Genomic DNA, 24,169 nt, shown 5'->3' on the forward strand with positions numbered 1-24,169 from the left:
ATGAAGTTTTATTTATTATTGTCATTTATTTTAGAGGGACTTCAAGTATCTAGAAAGAAATAGATTATTTTTTTCCTCTGCTACCAGAGCCAAGTCAAGAGAGTCCCAAGCTCATATGCTATATAGAATGATCCAATTTAATTTTCTGCATGGCCAAAGTTTTGCAATTTATCCTAGTCCAAGTTTGCATTGCAGTTTCTCACACTCTCTGCATTGATTTAAAAATTCTTATGGATTATGTCATACTAAATACATTTTATAAAGTAGACGGAAAAAAGGGGCCAACATTTGCTTAGCCATTATGGGGTAGCAGACATGGATTCTGCTAGATACTTTTCATACCTTCTATTCCTTACCTGTTTCCATATCCCCATGTCAATAGGGGAGAAAATTCAGGGTTGGAGAGACAAGTCATTCACCCAGGATCGTATAGCTAGCAAGCAGCCAAGCTGGGATTCAGTATGACTCCTCCTGGAACTCTTGAGAAATATGGACACATAAAACCAATGAACATGTATTTATTGAGTTCTAAGTTTACTGGGTAAGAATATACAAGAAAATATGAATACATAGAAGCTTATGTATGTATAAAAAGAGAACTGACAGGATAAAGTATGAGACAACTTTCAAATGCACATGTAAAATGAAGGTAGTCAGATATAATGCAAACTAATCAGGATAAAAAATTATAGTATGTCAATTTATTTTTACAAAAATCCCTGAAAAACTACAGTTCTGAAATTGAACTGAATATAAGTGGAAAGTAGACAATATATGCATTTCCAGTGTCATCTGGCAGCCCATATCATTTTAGCTCAAGCCTGCATGTACTGAAGTATCTATGTCAAAGCAGGAAGGTGGTGATCTGTGTCTCAGTTTCTGAGTTGACAACAAGGCATTGAATTTAGACTGTGACTTTATCACAAAGAGATACTGTATATTGGAGAGGGCCCTAGAGAAGAGCAGCAAGGAAAAAAAAAGAGATTGGAGAGATTAAAAATATAACTGGATGCAGTGAAGGTTAATTGAGAGTGGGATGGATCAGATCAAGTATTTTATAAGGACTTCCAAGGCACTAATACTTAAGGGAGGTGAATTCTATTTTCCTTTTAAAGAATAAGTCATTTAGTTAAAGGAGTAGAATAAGTCAAAGACACAAATGTCAGGGAAAATGTCCTAAAGGCAAACCTGAAAATGGAATGAATTGTTTAGAATGGGAGGAGGGTAAAGGAGTTGACACTAAATGATTTGCATTTCATGAATTAAAAATCATTTCCAACAAATTAGAGGGTTCATTAATACCATATTAATTACTCTCTCTCTCTCTCTCTGTGTGTGTGTGTGTGTGTGTGTGTGTGTGTGTGTGATCATAGGTAGCTTAGCTTTTCTTCCTTTAATAGTAGCAAGACTGGCATTTGATGACATTATTATAAGAAGCTTTTCTCTGGCTTGATTTTCTCTAACTTCCTGGAGCACAGTAGGATACAGAGAAACCAGAGATTTGCCCAAGGTCAGAAGAAATCAGAGCTAGGTTTGGAACTTAATGTTAGGAACTGGGAGGCCTGTGCCAGTTCATCATCTTCTCTTCCTCCTGTTATTGTTTTAGAGCACCTCCCTCCAACCCTCACCCTGCCTCCTCCTTTTCCCATCCCTTTGCATTGGGCCAGCCTTTTTCTCTTCCGTGATACTCTCTTTCATTACTCTTCTTGATAGTTGACCAGCAGTGACATTGCATTTTATTACCTTTTTTTTCCCATACAGAATAGTGGAGACAGGGAGCAGAATTTTTCTCAGACTTAGGCAAGTTAATTTGACTGAAATAGTATACTCGTGAGTAAAGCGTGACTTTTAGGGAACAGATGGGCCCAGGAAAAGACTAAATAAGATATTGGATGTTTTTACACATTATTAATATTTATCCACCAGGTGGGCATTAGCTAGAAAGATATGCCTGAGATGGTCATCAATAGGCCTTGCTTAAACCAACACGAGCTTCTGAAAAGTTGTATGTAAATAAATAATCTAAATGGAAATGTTATTATTTAAACAAGTGGGTGAACTTTTAGGTAAAATAAAGATGTATTTGTGTAGCAAATCTGCATCCTTCAGTTTGCCTGTTTTCTATTCTTTTTGTGTGTGTGTTTGCATTCTTAGAGTGCATTGAGTGACATTGAGGTCCATTAATGTTATAGAGATTATTTTAACAATTTTTCAACAAGCATTAATATTGCATTGTCTTTAGTGTTAATTGATAACAAAAACAGAGCAGTTGTTGAGGAAAATGATGATACATTTAATTCCGGAATTATATGAATGATACAGGATTGCTTTAGATCTTGTTTTTCTCTAATATCCCTGCTGCAAGTCCTCTATTTCCAAGGGTTTAAAATGTACCTCAGTGCTTCTTTGTGACAGTGTGTCATTTTTATTTCCCACTGCTTCAAGGTCATGATATACCCATGAATAGCATATATATACATGATAGCAGTAGCTAGGTATCCTGAAGGACCTCATTGTTTATCCTTCCAGTGGCTTGGAATTGAAAGACTAATCTATTTGATAAGTAATTTGATGGGTGACTAAACTTGTTTATGGTGCTTATTTTTTTAGATTTCTCAAAAGTGAGTATTTGAAGAGGAGTCATCACAGCATGGTGATGGAGTGCAGGCTTTGCTGGCAGCTCTTGAGTCCTGCCTCTGACTCTCACTGGTAGCATGGCTCCTCATTACGGAATCTAGCCTCACTTGGCCTCAGTTCCTTCATCTGCAAAATAGGGATTGCAGACTTCACCTTTTAATCTGTGTGTGAGTTCTGAGTAAGATGGTATCAAGTGCCTGGTCCATAGTATGCATTCAATAACTGATTGCTCTTAATTTAAATCTTTTATTTAGACTGGACATTTTTTGAGTGTTTTAAAAACAAAAGTAAGTTGAGGCAGATGGTAATGCGTATTTGCAAATTCTTTTCGTGAATGTTGGAAAATTACAGTTGCATCAAAATACTTACTTGTAGATAAGGCTAATAGAATATATTTGAGCCTTCTTTAAAGAAAGCATTGCCCACATTCGTTAAATGCATTATCACAATGTGTTCTTTTTTTTTTAAACCAATATATACAAAGTGAACCCAGTTTGTATACTCTTCCCTTCCAAGAGTTCCAAAGCAGTTTTTATCATTTCATTAATCCTTCGAATTTCTGTGAGAAGATAGCAAAAGCATGTTTTGTTTACTTTAATTTAGAAATAAAAAAGATTAAGCTGGAAAAAAGTTGGGTGACATACTGGGGTCACATGGTGAGTACTAGAAATTAATGAACAAAATAGACTTAATAACAGATAATAGAATTAAAATGAATTTTTCTGACATTATTTTTAGTTTTCTCCTAGAGAATATATTTTAAGGAAGATATTTGATGCTGTGATATAAAGTAAACCATTCTTAGCATATTCCTTTTCTTTTGGAAATGTTAGATGAAATTGCAGGCAAAGATGGTGTAGAAGGGGGAAAAACAATTGAGGAAGTCTAGTTGGCGAAGCAGGACTACTTAGCAAGAGTATGGTCTGAGCCCAAGGAAACCATCTACAACCAAGTGTTCAGGAGGTAAGGTGTAATTAGATCTTAAAAGAAGTACCAACATTTTTGTAGTAGATGTTGAAATAATACCAAATCACTCTTTTTTCCAGTGGAAAGATTCATATTCTGATTTGATTGACATTCCCATAACTTGTTAACCATCAGTTTTAGCTCTGAGCTAGTCAGCTGGTTCTGTTTGGAATTACATTATTTTTAAGTTACTAGATATACCTCAGAAGCTTTGAAAAGAATAGCTTTGGGTTTCTTATCTAGTGGAGGTTTAGAACCCTGTATATGTGTGTCTGTTTATGTTTTCTGGTTAATAAAACTAAGACCCATTCTCTTCATATTTTGAAAAGAGGGGCAAAGGCTTGCAATTATTTTTATAGATCCTAGCATTCATGGTTCTGAGTCCTACTACCAGGACAGCAACAATTGTGTGGTGAGATTTCTGCATTCTCATCTAAATACCGATAGAACGACCTGCATACTGAAGTCCTTGTAAATTCAACTTAAGAAACTTTAGCCTGTTTATTTAATCCTAAAAACATATCATGTAAAATGTGTATGTGTGGGTACTTGATTTGAATTATGTACTTTGAAAGTTACATATTCTCTTAGGGCTTTGTTTTTTTTTTTTTTTCCTCAGAGTAAGTTAAGAAGGGAAGTGGCAGAAGGATCATGAGTTCCTTGCTTGCAGAGTAAGTGGGGAGATGAGAAGGAGGAAGCAATGCTTTTGTGAGTGTCCACCAGATTGTAGGGACATACGAAGAGAAAAGACTGGTAAGGTTCAACCACTGTGAGAATTAGGAGTATTTGTGAATGAGTTAGTCTGGGGTGGCTTTGGTTCTCTCCTGCTCCCTGTGGCAGGTGGTCCCTGCATATTTGTTCAAAGTGTGCCACAGGTAAGCAAGGTAGCATGCCAAGAACAGTGAGAGCTGGGTTTAGTCTGGCCTCTGCTGTCATCTGCTGGTCTTCTCAGCTCTATCTGTCTGATTTAGAGGCCCCTCCTTGGTGGCCCTTGTTAATATTTCACTGCACAGGAATCTACCGAACAGTTGGTTGCCTCCTCTGTCTGCTCAACTATTTGCAGCTTCCACGAAGCCAGGAGCTGTGTCTCCTTTATCATTTTCCGTAGTGCAGTGCCGGCATATGGCAGGAGCTAACTGAATGAATCAGCTACTTGACTCTGTACAAGCCATTTATCTAAGCTGAAACATACCTTTGTCATCAATAAATTGGTTGAGAATAGTTGAGTGGGCTTGGATTAGAACGGTTGTTGTTTTTTGAGACAGAGTCTCGCTCTGTCGTCCCGGCTGAAGTGCAGTGAGTGGCATGATCTCAGCTCACTGCAACCTCTGCCTCCCAGGTGCAAGCAATTCTCATGCCTCAGCCACCTGAGTAGCTGGGACTACAGGAGTGCGCCACCACACCTGGCTAATTTTCATATTTTTAGTAGAGACGGGGTTTCGCTATGTTGGCCAGGCTGGCCTTGAACTCCTGACCTCAGGTGATTTGCCCGCCTCTGCCTCCCAAAATGCTGGGATTATAGGCGTGAGCCACTGCACCCGACCTGAACAGTGCTTTTTAAACTGTAGATTGTGACCTAATAGTGGGCCATGATATCAGTTTAGTAGATGGTGTGTGACAGTGTTAAGCGAAGTATCAGACTACATCCAAGGTAGTTATAAGTACCACTTTGTGAAAGTTTTGTATTAGTTGCATATTTGTATATGCATACTAGGCTGCAATGTAAAATGTATTTCTTACTATGGGTTATCCTCAAAATTGTTGAATGCCTCTGATCTAGATTAAATCTAATATTACTTCTAGTCATTTATTTGGTTATTTTCTATTTAAATGGCAGGACATATCTTTTTATTAGAGAAGACACAATTCACACTATACCATTACTATTCCACTAGGATGAATTAAAATGGAAATAACTTTATTAATTTAAAAAAGCTGTCTTTTAATTGAAAAAGTGATATGTACATGTAATACAAATTCAGACATTCCAAAATACATTATATTTATACCACATAAATCCCTTTCCCCTATTGAGGTTTCTTAGTAAGATGTTTCATTTACCTGCCTATCTTCCAGATTACTTCTGAATTTATATTTTCTTTATATGAAATTTATTTGAGTTTTGAGGACAGAGAGAATTTAATAAACTTGTTTGTAAGTAGATGATACAACCAGTTAAGAAAGGACATGTTTGAAAATTCTTTTAGCAGATGGATTTGTCCATTTACTGAGTCATTTACAAAGAATCATATGTTGAGAGTCCACAATATGCCAGGAATTGTGTGAGGCTCTGGTATGCAACAGCTCCTTCAAAGAGCTTGGTGATCCAGTGGGTACAGGATTGCTATGCACTGCACTGTCAGGATACCCAGGCTAACAATTCTTATGAGAGCCATTTGTCAGAGAATAGTTGGTGAGTTCATGATACTGTCTCTAAATATTTGAGGAGCTGTTACTTGGAAAAGGATTAGACTGACTCAGTTATCTCCCCAGAAGACATAATTAGAACAAATGGGTGAATGTTACAGGCAGATAGACTTAAACTTAACGTAGAGGAGACTGTTCAATAGAACACTTTAAAAAATGGAATGGATTGCCTGTGAAACAGTAAGTATTCCATCCCCATAAGTGTAGAGACTGGCGATTGATGACTTGCTGGCTGCTTGGCATGGTGTAGTCAGGAGAGGGGTTGAACAAAAGGACTTTGAAGGTTTTTTGTTTGTTTGTTTGTTTGTTTGTTTTAAACAGTCTACGATTTGGCTTGATGGATGTCAGAGAGAAACCTGGCTTTAAAAAAATGTGTGTTTTCTATAGGTTATCTGTAGGTAGATAAGAAATGACAGACTTATAAAAGAGTTAAGACCTCTCTGGGTCTAGACCTTCAAAAAATCATTATGCCTGTCATTGTATGGATGTAAAGAAGCTGGACTCTCTCCTGGAATGGCTAATTCCATGAAGCAGCTGTGGTTAAGGGTGTTTTAGAGGTAAACTGTATTTATTCTTTTTTTTTTTGAGACAGGCTCTAGCTCTGTCACCCAGGCTGGAGGGCAATGGCATGAAAACTGCTCACTGCAGCCTTGATATCCCTGGCTGATGAGATCCTCCCACCTCAGCCTTCCGAGTAGCTGAGACCACAAGTCCGCACCACCATGCTCAGCTAATTTTTAAATTATTTTTTGTAGACACAGGGTCTCCCTATGTTGTCCAGGCTGGTCTTGAACTCCTGGGCTCAAGTATTTCTCCTGCCTTGGCCTCCCAAAGTGGTGGCATTACAGGCATGAACCACTGTGCCTGGTCTGTATTTATTTATTTTTTAAAAAAGCTTAATTTTAAAATCTGCTTTTCTAATTGACCCAATTTCTTTCAGTGGTATACTAGTCTAGAAACTTAAAAAATAAACATAGTTTAGTTTCCTTTTTTTATTTTTAAAATCTTCCTATATCTAACACATCTTGTAATTTCTTTATTCAAAACATCTTTTTGGTCAGCCTTTTCCTCTTTATTCTCATTCTGACCATCAGAGTCTCAGCTGTCCTCCTTTCGCATGTGGGATAACTCTGACAGCATCCTGCCCTCTCACTCTCTCCATTTCTTATTCATCTATTCCATGTAAATATTGCTGCTCTCAGGTTAATCTTCCAAAACACAAGTTTAATATCTCTGTCCTCAGTAACCTGCAGTCCCCTCCCTCCCCTTTAAAAATCTCTACTTGGTTTTCAAAACTTTCTGACCATTCAGCTTTGTTTTCCACTCCTCCCAGAGGTATTCACCTCATTTTTTTCATCTTTTCTGTGTATGCAATGGCAATTTCTGATGACTTAAGAACATGAATAGCTTGAGTAGAGCATATTTTATGACCAAAATGGGTTCAAACAATCAACCTATACTTGAGTTGCTACTTTGTGAAAGACACTGTTTTGGGATGGAAAAAAAAATATTTGCCCTTAACAGAAACTAGTGTAGACTAGCATAGAGTGTAGTCAGAACTTACAGAGTGTTGAGGTAAAGAACATGTATTCTGTGGAGCCTGACTCCCTGGGTTCACATCGTAGTTCTGCCACTTAATAGTTCTGTGATCGAAGGCAATCACTTAACCTGCCTGTGCCTCAGCTTCCTCATTGGTACAATGGGACAATAGTAGTACCCTCCTCATGTGGTGGTTGTAAAAATTAAATTAATACATGTAAAACACTTAGGAGAGTGTCTGTCACATGGTAACATAGTTACCTGTTTATGATTATTATTACTGGGGATGGAAGTTTAGACAGAATTTGGGTGCCTTTAGAGGTGCAGTGTTCTGGATGATCAAAGGAAAAGAGCAATTTTTCCTTTTTTTCTGAGACAAAGTCTCGCTCTTGTCGCCCAGGCTGGAGTGCAGTGGCGGGATCTCAGCTCAATCTATCAAATTCTTACTATTTAATGCCCATTTAAAATCCTACTGGTTTACATGAAATCTTTCTTGGACTCTCCCAAAGAAAAATTGAAAGACCTCTGCCTCCCAGATTCAAGTGATTCTCCTGCCTCAGCCTCCTGAAGAGCTGGGATTACAGGCCCCCACCAGCATGCCAGGCTAATTTTTTTTTTTTTGTGGAGACGGGGTTTCACCAGGCTGGTCTCAAACTCCTGACCTCAGGTGATTCGCCAGCCTCCACCTCCCAAAGTGCTGGGATTACAGGTGTGAGCCACTGTGCCTGGCCCAATTTTTCCTTTTTTAAAAATTATTATTTTAGGTTCAGGGGCACATGTGCAGGTTTGTTTTATAGGTAAACTTGTGTCATGGGGGCTTGTTGTACAGATTATTTCTTCACCCAGGTACTAAATCGAGTACCTAATAGTTATTTTTTCTGATACTCTCCCTTCTCCCACCCTTCACCCTCAAGGAGGCCCCAGTGTCTATTGTTTCCTTTGTGTTTATGAATTCTCATCATTTAGCTCCCACTAATGAGTGAGAACAGGCAACATTTGGTTGTCTGTTCCTGTGTTAGTTTGCTAAACTTAATGGTCTCCAGCTCCGTCCGTGTTCCTGCAAAGAACATGATCTCATTCCTTCAAGGCTGCATAGTATTCCATGGTATATATGTACCATATTTTCTTTATCCAATCTGTCACTGATGGGCATTTAGGTTGATTCCATGTCCTTGCTATTGTGAATAGTGCTGCAGTGAACATTCACATGCATGTGTCCTTATGGTAGAATGAGTTATGTTTCTCTGGGTATATACCCAGTAATGGGATTGTTGGATTGAATGGTACTTCTGCTTTTAGTTCTTTGAGGAATCACCATACTCCTTTCCGCAATGGTTGAACTAATTTACACTCTCACCAACAGTGTATAAGTGTTACCATTTCTCCATATCTTTGTCAGCATCTGTTGTTTTTTGACTTTTATATAATAGCCATGCTGACTGGTGTGAGATGGTATCTTCATTGTGGTTTTGATTTGCATTTTTCTGATGATCAGTGATGTTGAGCTTTTTTATTTTTTTCTTCTCATATCCCTGTTGGCCATCTGTATGTCTTCTTTTGAAAAATGTCTGTTCATGTCCTTTGCCCACTTTTTTCTTGTAAATTTGTTTAAGTTACTTACAGATGCTGGATATTAGACCTTTGTCAGATGCATAGTTTGCAAAAATTTTCTCCCATTCTGTAGGTGGTCTGTTTACTCTATTGATAGTTTCTTTTGCAGAAGCTCTTAAGTTTAATTAGAATCCCTCTTGTCAATTTTTGCTTTTGTTGTTATTGCTTTTGGTGTCTTTGTTATGAAGTCTGCCCATTCCTACGTCTCAGATGGTATTGCCTAAGTTGTCTTCCAGGGTTTTTATAATTTTGGGTTTTACATTTAAGTCCGTAATCTATCTTGAGTTGATTTTTATATATGGTGTAAGGAAGGGGTCCAGCTTCAATCTTCTGCATATGGCTAGCCAGTTATCCCAGCACTATTTATTGAATAGGTAGTCCTTTCCCCATTGCTTGTTTTTGTCAGCTTTGTTGAAGATCAGATAGTCGTAGGTGTGTGGCCTTATTTCTGGGCTCTCTATTCTGTATTCTGTCCCATCAGTCTATGTGTTTGTTTTTGTACCAGTACCATGCTGTTTGGTTACTGTAGCCCTGTAGTATAGTTTGAAGTCAGGTAGTATAATTAGTTTAGCTGTGTTCTTTTTGCTTAGCATTGCCTTGGCTACTTGGCTGTTTTTTGGTTCCATTTGAATTTTAAAATAGTTTTTTTCTAGGTCTGTGAGGAATGACATTGGTAGTTTGATAGGAATAATATTGAATCTATAAATTGCTTTGGGCAATATGGCCATTTTAATGATATTGATTCTTCCTATCCATAAGCATGGGATGTTTTTCCATTTGTTTGTGTCATCTCTGATTTCTTTGAGCAGTATTTTGTAGTTCTCATTGTAGAGATCTTCCACCTCCCTGGTTAGCTGTGTTCCTAGGTATTTTATTCTTTTTGTGGCAATTGTGAATGAGATTGTGTTCCTGATTTGGCTCTCAGCTTGGGTGTTGTTGGTATATAGAAATGATAGTGATTTTTGTACACGGATTTTTCTATCCTGAAACCTTGATGAAGTTGTTTATCAGCTGGATGACACTATGGGGTTTTCTAGATATCAAATCATGTCATCTCTGCAAACAGGGATAGTTTGACTTCATTTCTTTCTATTTGGATGCCATTTATTTCTTTCTCTTGCCTGAAGAAGCAGTCTTTCAATTTTTCTTTGGAGAGTCCAAGAAAGATTTCATGTAAACTAGTAGAATTTGAAATGGGCATTAAATAGTAAGAATTTGATAGATCGAGATGAAGCCAGACGCACAGAAATAAGGATGTGTTTAGGGAACAGAGAATTTTCTATGTGACCTATGTGTCTAGAAGAGGAGTGGTGGGAGATAGAGCTGGCAGAGTGAATTGGGGCCCTATGGAGGATTGCTAAGATGAGGAATTGGTACTGAATTTAGGAAGCAATGAGGAGCTGTTAATGATTTGTAAGAGACATTGCAGTGTGCCTGGAGTCAGGCTTTAGGAAGATTAAGTTGGCCACATATTAACTGGAGGATACATAGATGGAGGGAGACATCTGAGGTACCAGTGGGGAATTAATGATTGAATGGTAATAGGGCTTGAAAAAGTATGTTTACTGGTGGAAATGGATACAGGTCATTTCAGAGACAGAGGCTGTGATTACAAATGGTGAGTGACAGAAAGGCAGAGAGGGAATAAAAAATAATTTCAAACTTTGAGTAGATCCCTGGAGGAAGGATAGTAAAATTCATAGAAGTAAATAAGTTTAGAGAGGGAAGGAATGCATTCTCTCTCTACTTGCAACTGGTCAGATCTTCCATTCTACCATCAAGCTCAGGGTTATCCATGGAACATCCCGTTTGAACACTCTGTCTATGCTGATTTTGACCTTCTCAGATGTCCTGATGACTTATGGTTCAAAACTGTTTAAAACTTGAATATTTCTGACTGTTTCATTAACATTAGCTTTTGCTTCTGGGACAGACTGCAAACCCTTAATTAGTATTCCCCACAGTATCTTGAATGATAGTGTTTTAGGTACCATTATGGACTGAACGTTTGTATCTCCTCCACAAATTCATGTTGAAGCCCAAACCCCAAATATAACGATATTTGGAGATAGGGCCAATTAGGAGGTAATTAAGATTAAAGAGGTCATAAGGGTGAGGCCCTGATCAAATAGGATTAGTGTCCTTATAAAAAGAGGCACTGGAGAGCTCTCTCTCTCTCTTCCTCTGCACAAAAAGAAGAGGCCATGTGGATACAGAGAGAAGGCAACCATCATCAAGTCAGGAAGACAGCCCACACCAGAACCTGAACCAGCTGAATCTTAATTTTGGGCTTCTAGCTTCCAGAACTTTAATAAATAAATCTCTTTTATTTAAGTGACCCAGCATGTGGTATTTTGTTATGGTAGCCTGAGCAGACTAATAAAAGTACTTAACTTGTATTGAGTTTTTGCTAATTAAATTGTTGATCTGACTTAGATGGGTTGGTACTGAGAGTGAGGATCATGTGTTTAAGTAAGAGATTTATTTTTACATTTATGAGAAAAAATTCACTGATGCACTAATATTCTTAGCTTGATAAGCTAGTGTCCTTAGCCCATGTGCCTCAGTTTTTGAGGTATCCATTCTTTCACCTGTACTTCTCTCTTCATTTTCTTAATGATGTAAACTACTTGTGAGTCTCCCATCTCAACCTTTGCCCTCTTCAGCTGCTGACTTAGCTTTCCTACCCGATAACCATCACACAACTCTCACTGTCTAAATGCAGGAACCAAATGGATTTGAAAAAAAGGATTATGATACTGAAAAGATTGGTCCATCCCAGCATCTCCCAAAGCAAGTATATGGATATCTGTGTAAGATTTACCTGAGGAACTTATGAAATAAAGGTTCCTAAGCTCCACTAATGGAGGCCCACTCAGTGGGTCTGGAGGTAAGCCATGGTAATCGGTATTTTTCAGAAGCTCTCCTCATGCTCCTGATAAGCAGCCAGATATGGGAGCTATTAATCACCACTTCCACAATTCCCATTATTTCTGCAGCTGAGGATAACGAATGCAGTGTGTCTTCCTTCCCCATCAGTACACTGAAACCGCCCTTCCCAAGGTCACCAACGATCTCCAGACAGCTTAATTTACTTTCCAAATATGTCTGAAACTGATCATCTGTGCTTAATTCCTACAACCACTGACTGAGTACAAGTTGTCATCATTCATCTTCTGGACTATAACAATAGACTCATAATACTTTCCCCATTTGTAACCTTCCAATCTGACTTTCACACAGCCATAGCATAATTGATATGGAATTCAAATTAAATCACATCACTGTCATAGTTAAAATTTTTCAGTTCCTAATGCCAACAGCATAAAATCATCAAAGCTTCTTGGGATGTCATACAAGGCCCTGTGTAGCCCAGCTTCTCCAGGTTATGTGTTGTTATTCTTTTACCTGGCTGTGTAGCATACCCCCTAGACACCCACCACGCTGTTTCATTGCCTTTGTTCACGTTGTTATTGTTCTTCACCCCACTATTATTATCTTGAATTTGGGTCTCCTTTCCTCTGGGATACCCCAACTGCCTCCCACTTCCTCATGTCTCCTAGGTTTCTTGTCCCTCTTCTGGGTATACATAATTCTCTGAGCATTTCTCTCATGTTATACTTACCACATTGTGTTAAATTATCTTATTTGCTTCTATCACTAAATTGTGAGCCTCTCGAGGGCAGGGTCTCTTTTATTTGTTTATCTTCACTTCTAGCATATGGTAATTTCTGAATAATTATTCAATGCATTAATCTACAAATATAATGGAGAGCTTTCAGCCTTTTTCATACCTGATTTATCTGCAACATGTGATGCCTTTTATTGAACATCCACTGTGTGCCAGGCACTGTCTTAAGCACCAGAAAGACAGTAATAAGTGAAAAAGCACATTCCTTGTCATTTTGGAGCTTGCAGTCTAATGAAGAGGCATATAATAAACAAATAAAAATGTATAATTATAAATCAGTATGGATGCCATGACAGGAATGATCAGGATAGTGATAGAACATGACAGAGAGTGACATATTTATCAGTTGGTCAGGGAAGCCAGTCTGATCAGATGACATTTCAGCTGAAGGACAAGGAATCAGTCATAAGAAGAGCCAGGAAAAAGCATTCCTTGCAGAAGGAACAGTATGTGCTAAGACTTCGAGGGGTCACAGAAGTCTGTGTGTTGGAGGAACTTAAGGTAAGTCAGTGTCTCCAGAGCTCAGTCGAGAGGGAGAAATATAGCAAGGAAAGATAGCAGAGGGAAGTTCAGGTAGGCTCTGTTGTTGCCAAAAATAGATTTTATCCAGAGTGCTATGGTAAGTGACTGAAGGAAGGATTTTAATCAGGTTAGTTATGTAATCTGATTTACATTAGAGAAAGATTACTCTAGGTCAGTGCTTTTCAAGACAATAGTCACTACCCCATGTAGCTATTATAACTAATGCTACTGAGAAATTGAATTTCCAGTTTAATTTTAGTTACTTTAAATCTACTTTTAAAAATATAACGAATTCAGTTAAGTATGTTTTGGTACATGAAGCTACTTTTTCAACTATAAATTTTGTGAACTTTAAATATAGATCAGGTATTTCTGATAAAAATTTAGCATCCAAGTTGAGATGTGCTCTAAGTGTAAAATACACATGAAATTTCAAAGATTTGCTATGGAAAAGAATACAAACTGCCTTATTAATGATTTTATATTGATTATTAATACATATTGAAAGGATTATAAGTTGGAGAAATTGGGCTAAATAAAATGTATTGTTTAATTTTACTTGCTTCTTTTTACTTTTTGTAATGTGGCTATTAGAACATTTAAAGTTATTTACATGGCTCATATTATATTTCCATTAGACTTGCATTGCACTAGATGCTGTGATGATAATGGATTGGAGGCAGGCAAAGTAGCAGCAGAGAGATGGGTTAGGAATCTTTTGCAGTTGTCTAGGTGGGTGATAATGGTATCTTTGATTAGGGAGTGGCAGTGGAAATGGAAAGAAGTATAAAGAGTCTACAAATATTTTGGAAGTAGAGTCATAATGACTTGCTGATGGACTAGATGGGGAAGGGAAGAATGAAAAAACGACTCTCAAGTTTTTGACTTGTGACTGGATTGCAGTGTTGCCATTTCCTGTAGTGGGAAGACTGAGAAAAAAGTTGGGAGTTGAACATCTAAGGTATGGATTTGGGCATGTTAGAGCCTGTAAGGTATGCAGGTGGTTGGATATAAGAGCCTGGGGCACAGAGGAGAGTTTAACTGAAGATATTAATCAGTACTTGTCAATATATCATTGATATTTAAAACCTTAAGACTGCACACCAAAAACTATACAACATCATTGAAAGAAATTAAAGAAGACCAACTAAAATGGAAAGATATCCTATGTTCATGAACTTGAAGACTTAAGTGTTAAAATGGCAACACACCTCAAATCAATCTGCAGACTTAATGAAATTCCTATCAAAATTCCAGATGCCATTTTTGTGCAGAAATTGACAAACTGATCTTAAAATTTTTATGGAGTTGCATAGGATTCAGAATGGCCAAAACAATGTTGAAAGCAAAACAAAACAAGTTGAAGGACTCACACTTCCCAGTTCTAAAACTTACTACAAATCAGTGTAATACTGGTGTAAATATACACATACTAAATGAATGGAATAGACTTGAGAGTCCAGAAATAAACTGTTACATTCGTGGTCAATTGATTTTTAACAAAAGTACCAAGATAATTCAATGGAGGAAAGAGTAGCCTTTTCAACAAATGGTACTGGGACAGCAGTATATCCATGTGCAAAAGAATACATTGGGGCCCCTACCTCACATCATATATACAGATTAACTCAAAATGGATCAAAGACCTAAATGTAAGAGCTAAAGCTACAAAATTTTTAGAAGAAAACACAAGTATAAATCTTGGTGATTTTAGATTAGACAGTAGTTTCTTAGCTACGATACCCAAAGCATAAGTGACAAAATAAAAAATAGTTAAAGTGAACAACATCAAAATTAAAAACTTTTGTGCTTCAAGGGACACTATTAAGGGTATGAAAAGATAACCCAGAGAATGGGGGGAAATTTTTGCAAATTATATATGTGATAGGGAACTAGCATCCTGAATACAAAAGGAACTCTTATAACACAACAATAAAAAGACAAATAACCCAATTAAAAATTAGGCAGAAGACTTGATTTTCTAAAGAATGTATAAATAGCTAATATGCACATAGAAAGATGCTCAACATCAGTAGTCAGTAGAGAAGCAAATTAAAATACAATGATATGCCACCAGGTATCTCACTAGGACAGCTATGATAAAAAGGAGGGATACTAACAACTGCTGGTGAGGATGTGGAGAAATTGGAACACTCATCCATTACTGGTGGGAGTGTCAGATTGTACAGACACTTTGGAAAACAGTTTGGCAAATTCCTCAAAAGTTAAACATAGTTATCATAATGTTATACGAAACAATTCAACTCCTAGATTCATGCTGAAGACAAATTAAAACACAAATATGTACATGCAAAAACTTGTGCATAAATGTTTATAGTAGCATTGTTCATAATAGCCAAAAGGTGGAAACACCCAAATGCCCACCAATTGATCAATGAATAAACAAAATGTGACATACATTGAATACAATGGAGTATTATTGAGCCATAAAAAGGAATTAAGTACTGATACAGGCATGCTACAACATGGATAAATCTTAAAAACATTACACTAAGTGAAAGAAGTCAACGCAAAAGGCCAATAGTATATGATTCCATTTATATGAAATGTATAGAGTAGAGACAGAAAGCAGATTGGTGTTTGCCAGGGCCTAGGGAGAGGAAGGAATGGAGAATGACTACTAATGGGTATGGAGTTTTTCTTGGGTGATAAAAATATTCTGGAATTAAATAGAGATGGTGTTTTATAATATCATGAATATACTAAAAAATCACCAAATTATACTTCCAAAGGGTGACTTTTATGATCTTTAAATTATATCTCAATTAAAAGAAAACCTTAGGACAGAGATAAATCACTTTGAGGGAGAGTATATGAAAGAAGGAAAAGAGAAGCAGCAACAGAAGGGCCCTGCAAGGAAGCCCAAGAAGGAGAGGCCAAAGAACTAGAAAGAAAATCTAGAGACTCTTTAGAACTGAGAGAAAAGAGTAGTTTTGTTGGAGTGGTAGGAGTTGGGAAGCCTTACTGGAGTGGTTGAGAAAATGAGAGGTGAATAAATGGGGACACAGTGTGTAGATAACTCTTCTGAGAAGTTGGAAGAGAGTCTAGGGCAAAGGAGGGTGTGCTTTTTTTTTTTTTTAAAGACAATACATAACATTCAAAGGGGATGCTTTTTTTGATGGGAGATATTAGAGCATTTTTGTTTGCTAGTAGGAATGACCCAGAAGTAAGATCCAAGAAGTAAGGTAAGACCCAGAAGAAGATATAGATGACAAAGTACAGAAAAGCAGAAGAGAGAGGCAGGACATGCTTGAGAAAGTATGGTGAGATGGGCATCCCACAGAGGAGTAGGGATATCTTATCCACTGTAACTGAAAGGTAAAGAAGCTGGTGCAGACAAGAAGGGTGTATAGATTTGGTGGGGAATGTAGGGAAGCTCCAGTTTAATGAAGTGATAGCATCAGCTGATGGTAGGGTAGGAAGCAGAGGGAGGGGCAGAAAGACAGGAAAAAAGTATACAAAGACTATTTGAGGAAATGGGAATGTGAGCTTAGTAGAGAAATATATTCAAAATATTTATGAAATTTCCCTTTTCATAAGCCAATAACAGTTACATGAATTTTCTAAAATGCATGTTTTATCAAACCACTCTACTGCTAAAATCCCTGTTACCCAGCTTCTAAGCATGCTGTAGAGTTTCCTTCATGGTCTGCCATCTGTCTTTATGTCCGTTCTCTCCTTCTCCTTCTATGCACTGGGGTGTGCAGTCCTGCTGAACGACTAAGGTTCCTAGAATGCAGCAAGCCCTTTCATGTCTCCATAGCGTTACACATGTTCCCCTCTACCTGGAAGGCTCTTCGGTTTCCATATTGCCAGGATAACTCTACTTACAAGAACTAGTTATCACCTCTTCTTGAAAGCCTTCACTAAGCCCACAGGTAGAAGGTATTTACTAAGTGTGTGTTGAAAGACTGGAGATACTTAGTATGAGCCTTATTGAATGAATGAGCTCTTTGAACACAGAAGAATTATCCAGAGTCTGGGCTGTATGTGCAAAACGCCAAGGACTTTAAAACTTATGTGGCTTTCTTGGTTTATTTACTCATCTGCAGAATGGAGATAATAAACATTATCTCAATTCCCTTTGCAGAGTCTAAAAAGTGGGTTTTAAATGTCTAATATACTCGTCAATAAATGATAGTTTAAAAAATAGTACTTAAGCAAAGATTTGCATGTAGCAAAACGTGACTGAGAGATTGCTTTCATTGCAGGGATTGCAAGGACACCTGCTGTATTTAAAATGCTGCATTTTCTTGGCATACCATTTAAGACAAATTACAAAAACCTATAACTGAAGCCTGTTTTTCCAAAAGGTACGTTTCCTGGTTTGGACCTGTGGGTAGTGAGTGGAAGAACACATTTGGTGTAGAAGGAAAATATGTATATATTCTGATCTACCCTGCATATTTTCCATTAAGGTCTCCAGCTGCCTGAACATTAAGGAGCTGTGCCAGTAAGGAGGACAAGACCTGGTAACTGGTTAAAAGAAGCTAACAGAGCTCATGATAAGGCTTGCCAGCCTAGAGGACAAACTGCCAGTTGTCTATAGAACAGACAGGACTTGTGGGAGCATAGTGTGTTAAGTGGAGGCCCCTGAGCTTAGAAAAAGGGGCTTTCCTATTAGGCAGGAACCAAGAGAAGCACAAAGAGATCATAGTTTATAAATATGCAACAGACACCTCTGTTTGGAAGGAGGCACAACACTTATTGTGGGATTGTCATTGTGTGGCTTGCTTTTTTCAATAAATTCCCTCCTTAAAAATTTTTATATAGATTGAATATTTGTAAATAGTGTTTTATTATTGATTTACATTATTATGTTAGTAATGCTTTAATTTTCAGTTTTGCTTGCCAAAAATTTTCTAATTCTTGCTTAAATAAAAAAAAAAACTAATTGTATAGCTTGGAGTTCCAAATTTAGAATGAGAATCTTTTTGTGAGGCTAAATTGTTTTGTAATGAAATTAATCACTCATTAATTTGCCTCTTAAAATACAGACTTATTTAAAATCTAGTGGGTTTTCTTAATTGGACGGAGAGACATTCTTGTAATTCATAAGAAGTTATTTATCTTCTCTCCAAATGAAATTATTTTAAAATTTAAATTTATTTATGTCTTGCTTTTCTGCAAAGGAATTGAGGTGGCTTCCTACAAACTATATTCATTTATTTATTCATTCTTTTCTATAACTATTTATGGAATTATTAGACATTTAAAATAAAACATTAAAGTCAAATAGAAGTGAAGAGGCAGGGCTGGGCGTGGTAGCTTATGCCTGTAACCCCAGCACTCTGGGAGGCTGAGGCAGGCAAATCGCTTGAGCCCGGGAGTTCTAGACAAGCCTGGGCAACGTGGTGAAACCTCATCTCTACAAAAAAATACAAGAATTAGCCAGGTATAGTGGTGCATGCCTGTAGTCCCAGTGCTTGAGAGGCTGAGACTGGAGGATCTCTTGAGACTGGGAGGTCGAGGCTGCGGTGAGCCATGATCCTGCCACTGCACTCCAGCCTGGGTGACAGAGCAAGATCCTGTCTCAAAAAAAAAAAAAAAAAAAAAAAAAGAATGAAAAAAGAACTGAAGAGGCAGGACCAAGGTAAGATAAAACCAAGAAATGGAGAATGAAAAATTCCCAAACCTAAATATTGACCTAATAATGGGATTAAACACATGTAAACACCCCATTAGGGGAAAAAGTGAAATATGATCACTTAGACAGTTTTGTTATCTTCGAGGATTAAGAAACATTTTTATTCATACATATTCCTCTAGAGGTGAGTAAAAAACAATTTCTCATATTTTATAACAGCAAATACAGTAGCTTCCTTTCTCTGTGATCTCACTTCTCATCAGGGTTTAGCTGGGTGGGCAACTTTGGATCTTGAGTCTGTATCCCTTTCCTACATTTTCAGATCCATGTTGAGATTTCAATGTAAATACTCATACTTTTACTAATAGATTCAGCATCTTCCCCAGAGAGGTCATGTCCTCTGTGTATTCTCTTAATCAACAAACCTTGAAGCTTTCATATTGCCTTCATCTTTCCTTTCCCCACATATACTAAATTTTGTACATTCTACTTGAGTAGTGCCTTTGTTCTCGTTGGTGCCCTTTCATTTCTGTTGCTGTTGTCCCAGCTCAGAGCTTACTTTCCTCTTGCCTGATTTATCCTAATAACTTATTTAATAGCATCAGTTCTTCCAGTGTCAACCCCCACCTTAGTCATTCTAAATACTCTTGACAGAATTCTCTTAAAGCACTACTCTAATCGCTCCCTTTCCCTACACAATAGAATCCTAACTTCTTGGCATAACTTTAAAAGCTTTTAATGATCTGGCTACCAACTACTTCCCAGCATAATTTTCCATTTCTTTTGTACATCATAGGTAGCCATTCTCTGAAACCGTCCTTGTACTTTCTCTCCTTTGTGTCATCACTCATACCATTCCCTCCATCTAGAATGCTTTTGCTCCTTCTATTCCTCCCATTTCAGTTGAATCCAGCAAATCTGTACTGAGTGTTTGCTACATGCCTAAGGATTGTACCAACTACTTTGGTTCCAAAGATGAGGATAATTATCCTTTCCCTCAAAGATCTCACAGACTTATGTAGAAGAATTGGTAAATTGAAGTTGACATATTGCTTCCTCTATAAAGCTTTCCTAATTTTCAAGTTTAAATTAATTTTTCTTTTTTTCATATGCTTTTCTTTTTTTTAAATAACACTGACTTGTACTTTTCAAATAGAATGTGTGTATGTTTTAAATATAAATTATTTCATATGCCCCATTTTATTATAAGCTTCTATGGCATCATGTTATCTGGGTCCTTAGGTCTTTAGGCATGCCACATTATAATTCTCACATAGTAGGTGTTCAGTAATTTTTTGCAAGGTTGTGTACCTGGTGAATGTGCTGAGATGACATAGATCATGTAGGTATCACTGTCAAAGCAGTCACACTCAGTTGTACTTTTAGGGTCTTGCTTTAAAAGCTGCTTTTAGGTCGTATTTTAAAAGTTTAGGTGCACCTAAGGTTCCAACAAAGGCTAAATGTTTTTAAACTTTTAAGTGACGTGTGTAACCACACATGGAGTTCAGCCTTTGAAGTCAGCAGGAACTCCACACAGCATGTAGAGAAGATCCTGGAACACTTAGGAAGGGGGTAGGAGTGTGGCCTTTAGGGCAGGGCTCCCTAAAGGATAAAGGAGCTGAAGGTCAGGCTTTGAACTGATTTGAAGAAAACTAGTGTCTATGTTAGAGGTGATTGCTTTTGAAATTTGATATAATTCTGGCTAATCCATTGTGAAAATGGCTACTGGTTAAGTAGTTGAGGAATACTGTGCTTCCTGTGCCTCTGTGATTGCTTTATTTCACTAAAAATTTGTATTTTAATATGGCTGTTCGTGCTTCAAACCTCACATATTTGGAATATGAAGTCACATCTGCGCTAGGCTCCAGTAGGCTGCATCCCTGGTTTATCCAGTCCATGATTCTTCTGCTAATAGCCAAGTGGCATTCCATGGGGAGATGCAGGACACATTGTTTTTCTTTCAGATATTAACTCTATGCTAAGGTTAGAGGCACCCAAACTGGTTTTTGTATATTTATGGTATTGTCACTCATAAATTTTTCCATACTTCCTTTGGATCTACTTTTATTTAAATATCTCTTTGTGGAATAATGTTTTCATCATATTTATTATCCACTTTGGACATTTTTAATGGGTTCCAAACTCACATGACTGAGTGTCAAAGAACATCCCCATCATCCTAGTATTTGGTATTTGTGGGTTTTACTTCAGTGGTACCGTTGGTCATATATCACATATATAGGTTCTGTATTTACCATAACCCACCATATTTTATTCATCAAAGATGTCACACACTTAAGATGTAGCATTATTTTATATACAGCTAAGAAAGAAAAAGAAAATCATTGTTAATTAAACTAAGATACTTTCTTATCACTTAACATTTTTGTTTTATAGTTAATGGAAAATATCTTGGGTTGTAGAAAGATTTTTATCATATGCCACTCTTATAGGTATATAAACTATAAGATATAAATGAAATACATTGGTAAATTACTCTAAAAATTTCTTCACATTGAGTCCAACTCTTTATGGATCTTCCTTCAGCTCAAAATTGTTATCTGTGTTTTTCTACCCAGTGTCATCCCCCATGCTACTAAGAGTATTGGTGGTGAAGCATTTCTTAAAAGGCTGCTTCTTGCTTGAGTGAGTGTTATTTTCTAAGAGACAGGATCTCTTAGGGGTAATCAGTTTGGGAATTCCTTGGTCAAGCCCTGGGTCCTACCCTCCCTGATGAGGGTGACAAGAGGTGTCCTGCACACAGCTCCTGGCATGCCAGGCATTCATCTTCTCTGTGGTCTGCTCAGGCCAAGAGGCAGAAACTGAACTGCCCTCAAATACTTGGTACCCAGCCAAGTGATTTTTCCTGTTTTCAACCTTGACACTGCAATCTGCGCATTGCGTGAATAAGTGGAAATTTTCGAGCAAGAAATAGCTTCATGCCAGTTCTATTTGAAATGTTCAAACCACCTATTTAATGGCATCTTCACAGCCATGCATAATTGAGTTAGAGATGTCACAACTTAGACAATTTTTCAGGCAGGAAGAAAGAATTGGCTCTCTTCTAAGTTAGTACCTTCTGGCAACTCTGGCTTGTTTTATCAAGCAAGGATGAGCCTCTCTCTATTTAAAAACTTAATTTTTGTGTACCCTCTTACATTGATTGAGCAGTTGTGGTGTGAGAAGGAACAAAGATGCTTCTGGTGTCCTTTGTACAATTTCTTTTTTTTTTTTGAGACGGAGTCTCGCTTTGTCACCCAGGCTGGAGTGCAGTGGCGCAATCTTGGCTCACTGCAACATCTGCCTCCCGGGTTCAAGCGATTCTCCTGCCTCAGCCTCCCAAGTAGCTGGGATTACAGGCATGCGCCACCACACCCGGCTAATTTTGTACTTTTAGTAGAGACAGGGTTTCTCCATGTTGGTCAGGCTGGTCTCGACCTCCTGACCTCAGGTGATCCGCCTGCCTCAGCCTCCCAAAGTGCTGGGATTACAGGCGTTAGCCACTGTGCCTGGCTTGTACAATTTCTTAAACTACAATTGCAGAGCTAATTATTCTTGCATGTGCTTTTTTAAGGCTGTGTACCTAAACATCATGTGGTTGGTTTTTTTTTGGAGAAAACCATTTTGTGAATGCTTTTGGATACAAATAATTGCTTTCCACTCTGAATTAAGGTATGTGAAAACACCTGGCACAGAGCCCAGGCACTGTTTCCTTTGCCCTCCCCATCTGGTGCTGCCCTCCCCATGCCTGAGGAGCTGTGGGCTGCTTGCTTACAGCTCAGCCACATAGGATCTTGGAAGAGTTCAAATTTCTCCAAGATCTCCAGTGTGTGATTTTCACTCTTGCTAAGTGTGTCTCTCCAGCAGCATTTCCTCATAAGGAAAGAAGGTAGTTATATCTGTCAGTTACAATTAGCTGTAGAATTGTGCTGTTTTACCCGAGAAATCCTCTTCTCCAGTTATACTAACCAAGTTTTTCCTGTACTAATATCCATATAGAAACTTAAGCTCTTGACCTGAATTTTTCTGGCTGTTCATTTCTCCTTTTTCCACTTACTTAATTACAAATGGATTCGTGTCATGAAGGGTAATCATTAGTTCTCACTGACATATGATGCTGAGTTATTGCTGGTAAAATATTTCACTGCCCTGCCTTATTGTTATTGTTTGAAAATGTAAAGTAATGCTTATAGGCAATCAATATCTCATGCTACCTCAGGACAGAAATTGAATCCTGACCAATGACTTTCAGTTTAATTTAACCTTCATCTAGTTAAAAGTGGAGACTGAAAACTTTTACATGAACTCAAGATAATTTTTAGATTAGGGAAGTTCTGATGATTCCTGTAATTTTAATTACAGTAGCTCATATCTGACCCTCAGTTTTCTTCACTAATCATTTGGGTTGTAAAGCTATAGTTAGGCTCATTAGACAGAGTGCAGAAGTGCAGATATAGTGTCTAGGAAGATATAAATGTCCATTGAAGAACTAGCCATGGAAGAACTATCCTTGCTCAGGGAAGAACTAGCCTTAACTAGGTCTGGTGGCTTGCTTCAGGACCTATTTAAATACTAGCACGTTTGCTATTACATTTTCCATTATTCTGAAAAAATTATTAAATAACAATATCCGTTTGACATGAATTGCCTTTTATATTCCTTACTGATTTAAAGTAAAATTGGGGTAACATATGATTTTTATAGACTCTCACTCTGTTCTCATTAAGAAGGCATTACTGAAGATAAATTTTAGGTGGGACCAATTACAGACTAATGCAGTTATATAGTCATTGTGATCTAGCTGAAGACCAGGAGTCTTTTAATCAGTTAAAAACCTCTGCAGCCTGGGCGACAGAGTAAGACTCCCTCCATCTCAAAAACAAAAAAACAAACAAAACAAAACAAAACAAAAACAAACAAACAAACAAAAAAAAACCCTCTGAAGTCTCTCATGCACTATTCTGTGTTCTGCAAAACGTTGGCCCTAATTCCCTGAAATAAAAAGTGAGGAATTGATCTTCAGTAAGAGTCTTTTGAATGCTTATTATGTGCCTATCACTTTGCAAATTAGATTATGTATCAAAAGGAGGTTTAGAGTAGTTCTTGAGCTCAAAATTATATTCTTCTGAGGAAAGATATGACACAAAACAATAAAAAAACAGCATAAG

At 37.5% G+C, this 24,169-nt stretch overlaps 1 protein-coding gene and 1 long non-coding RNA gene across 25 annotated transcripts in view; both read left to right on the forward strand.

The window, feature by feature from the left end:
• The window catches only part of DNM3 (dynamin 3), a 576,969-nt gene that overhangs the window by 5,069 nt on the left and 547,731 nt on the right, over positions 1-24,169 (forward strand). The gene's annotated exons all lie outside the window — the stretch shown is intronic.
• Positions 17,626-18,121, forward strand: DNM3-IT1 (DNM3 intronic transcript 1). The gene is made up of 2 exons (NR_046845.1): positions 17,626-17,727; positions 17,833-18,121. It is a non-coding gene; the product is annotated as a DNM3 intronic transcript 1 (long non-coding RNA).

The sequence above is a fragment of the Homo sapiens genome, chromosome 1 (genome assembly GCF_000001405.40).
Source record: "Homo sapiens chromosome 1, GRCh38.p14 Primary Assembly".
NCBI classification, from domain to species: Eukaryota; Metazoa; Chordata; class Mammalia; order Primates; family Hominidae; genus Homo; species Homo sapiens.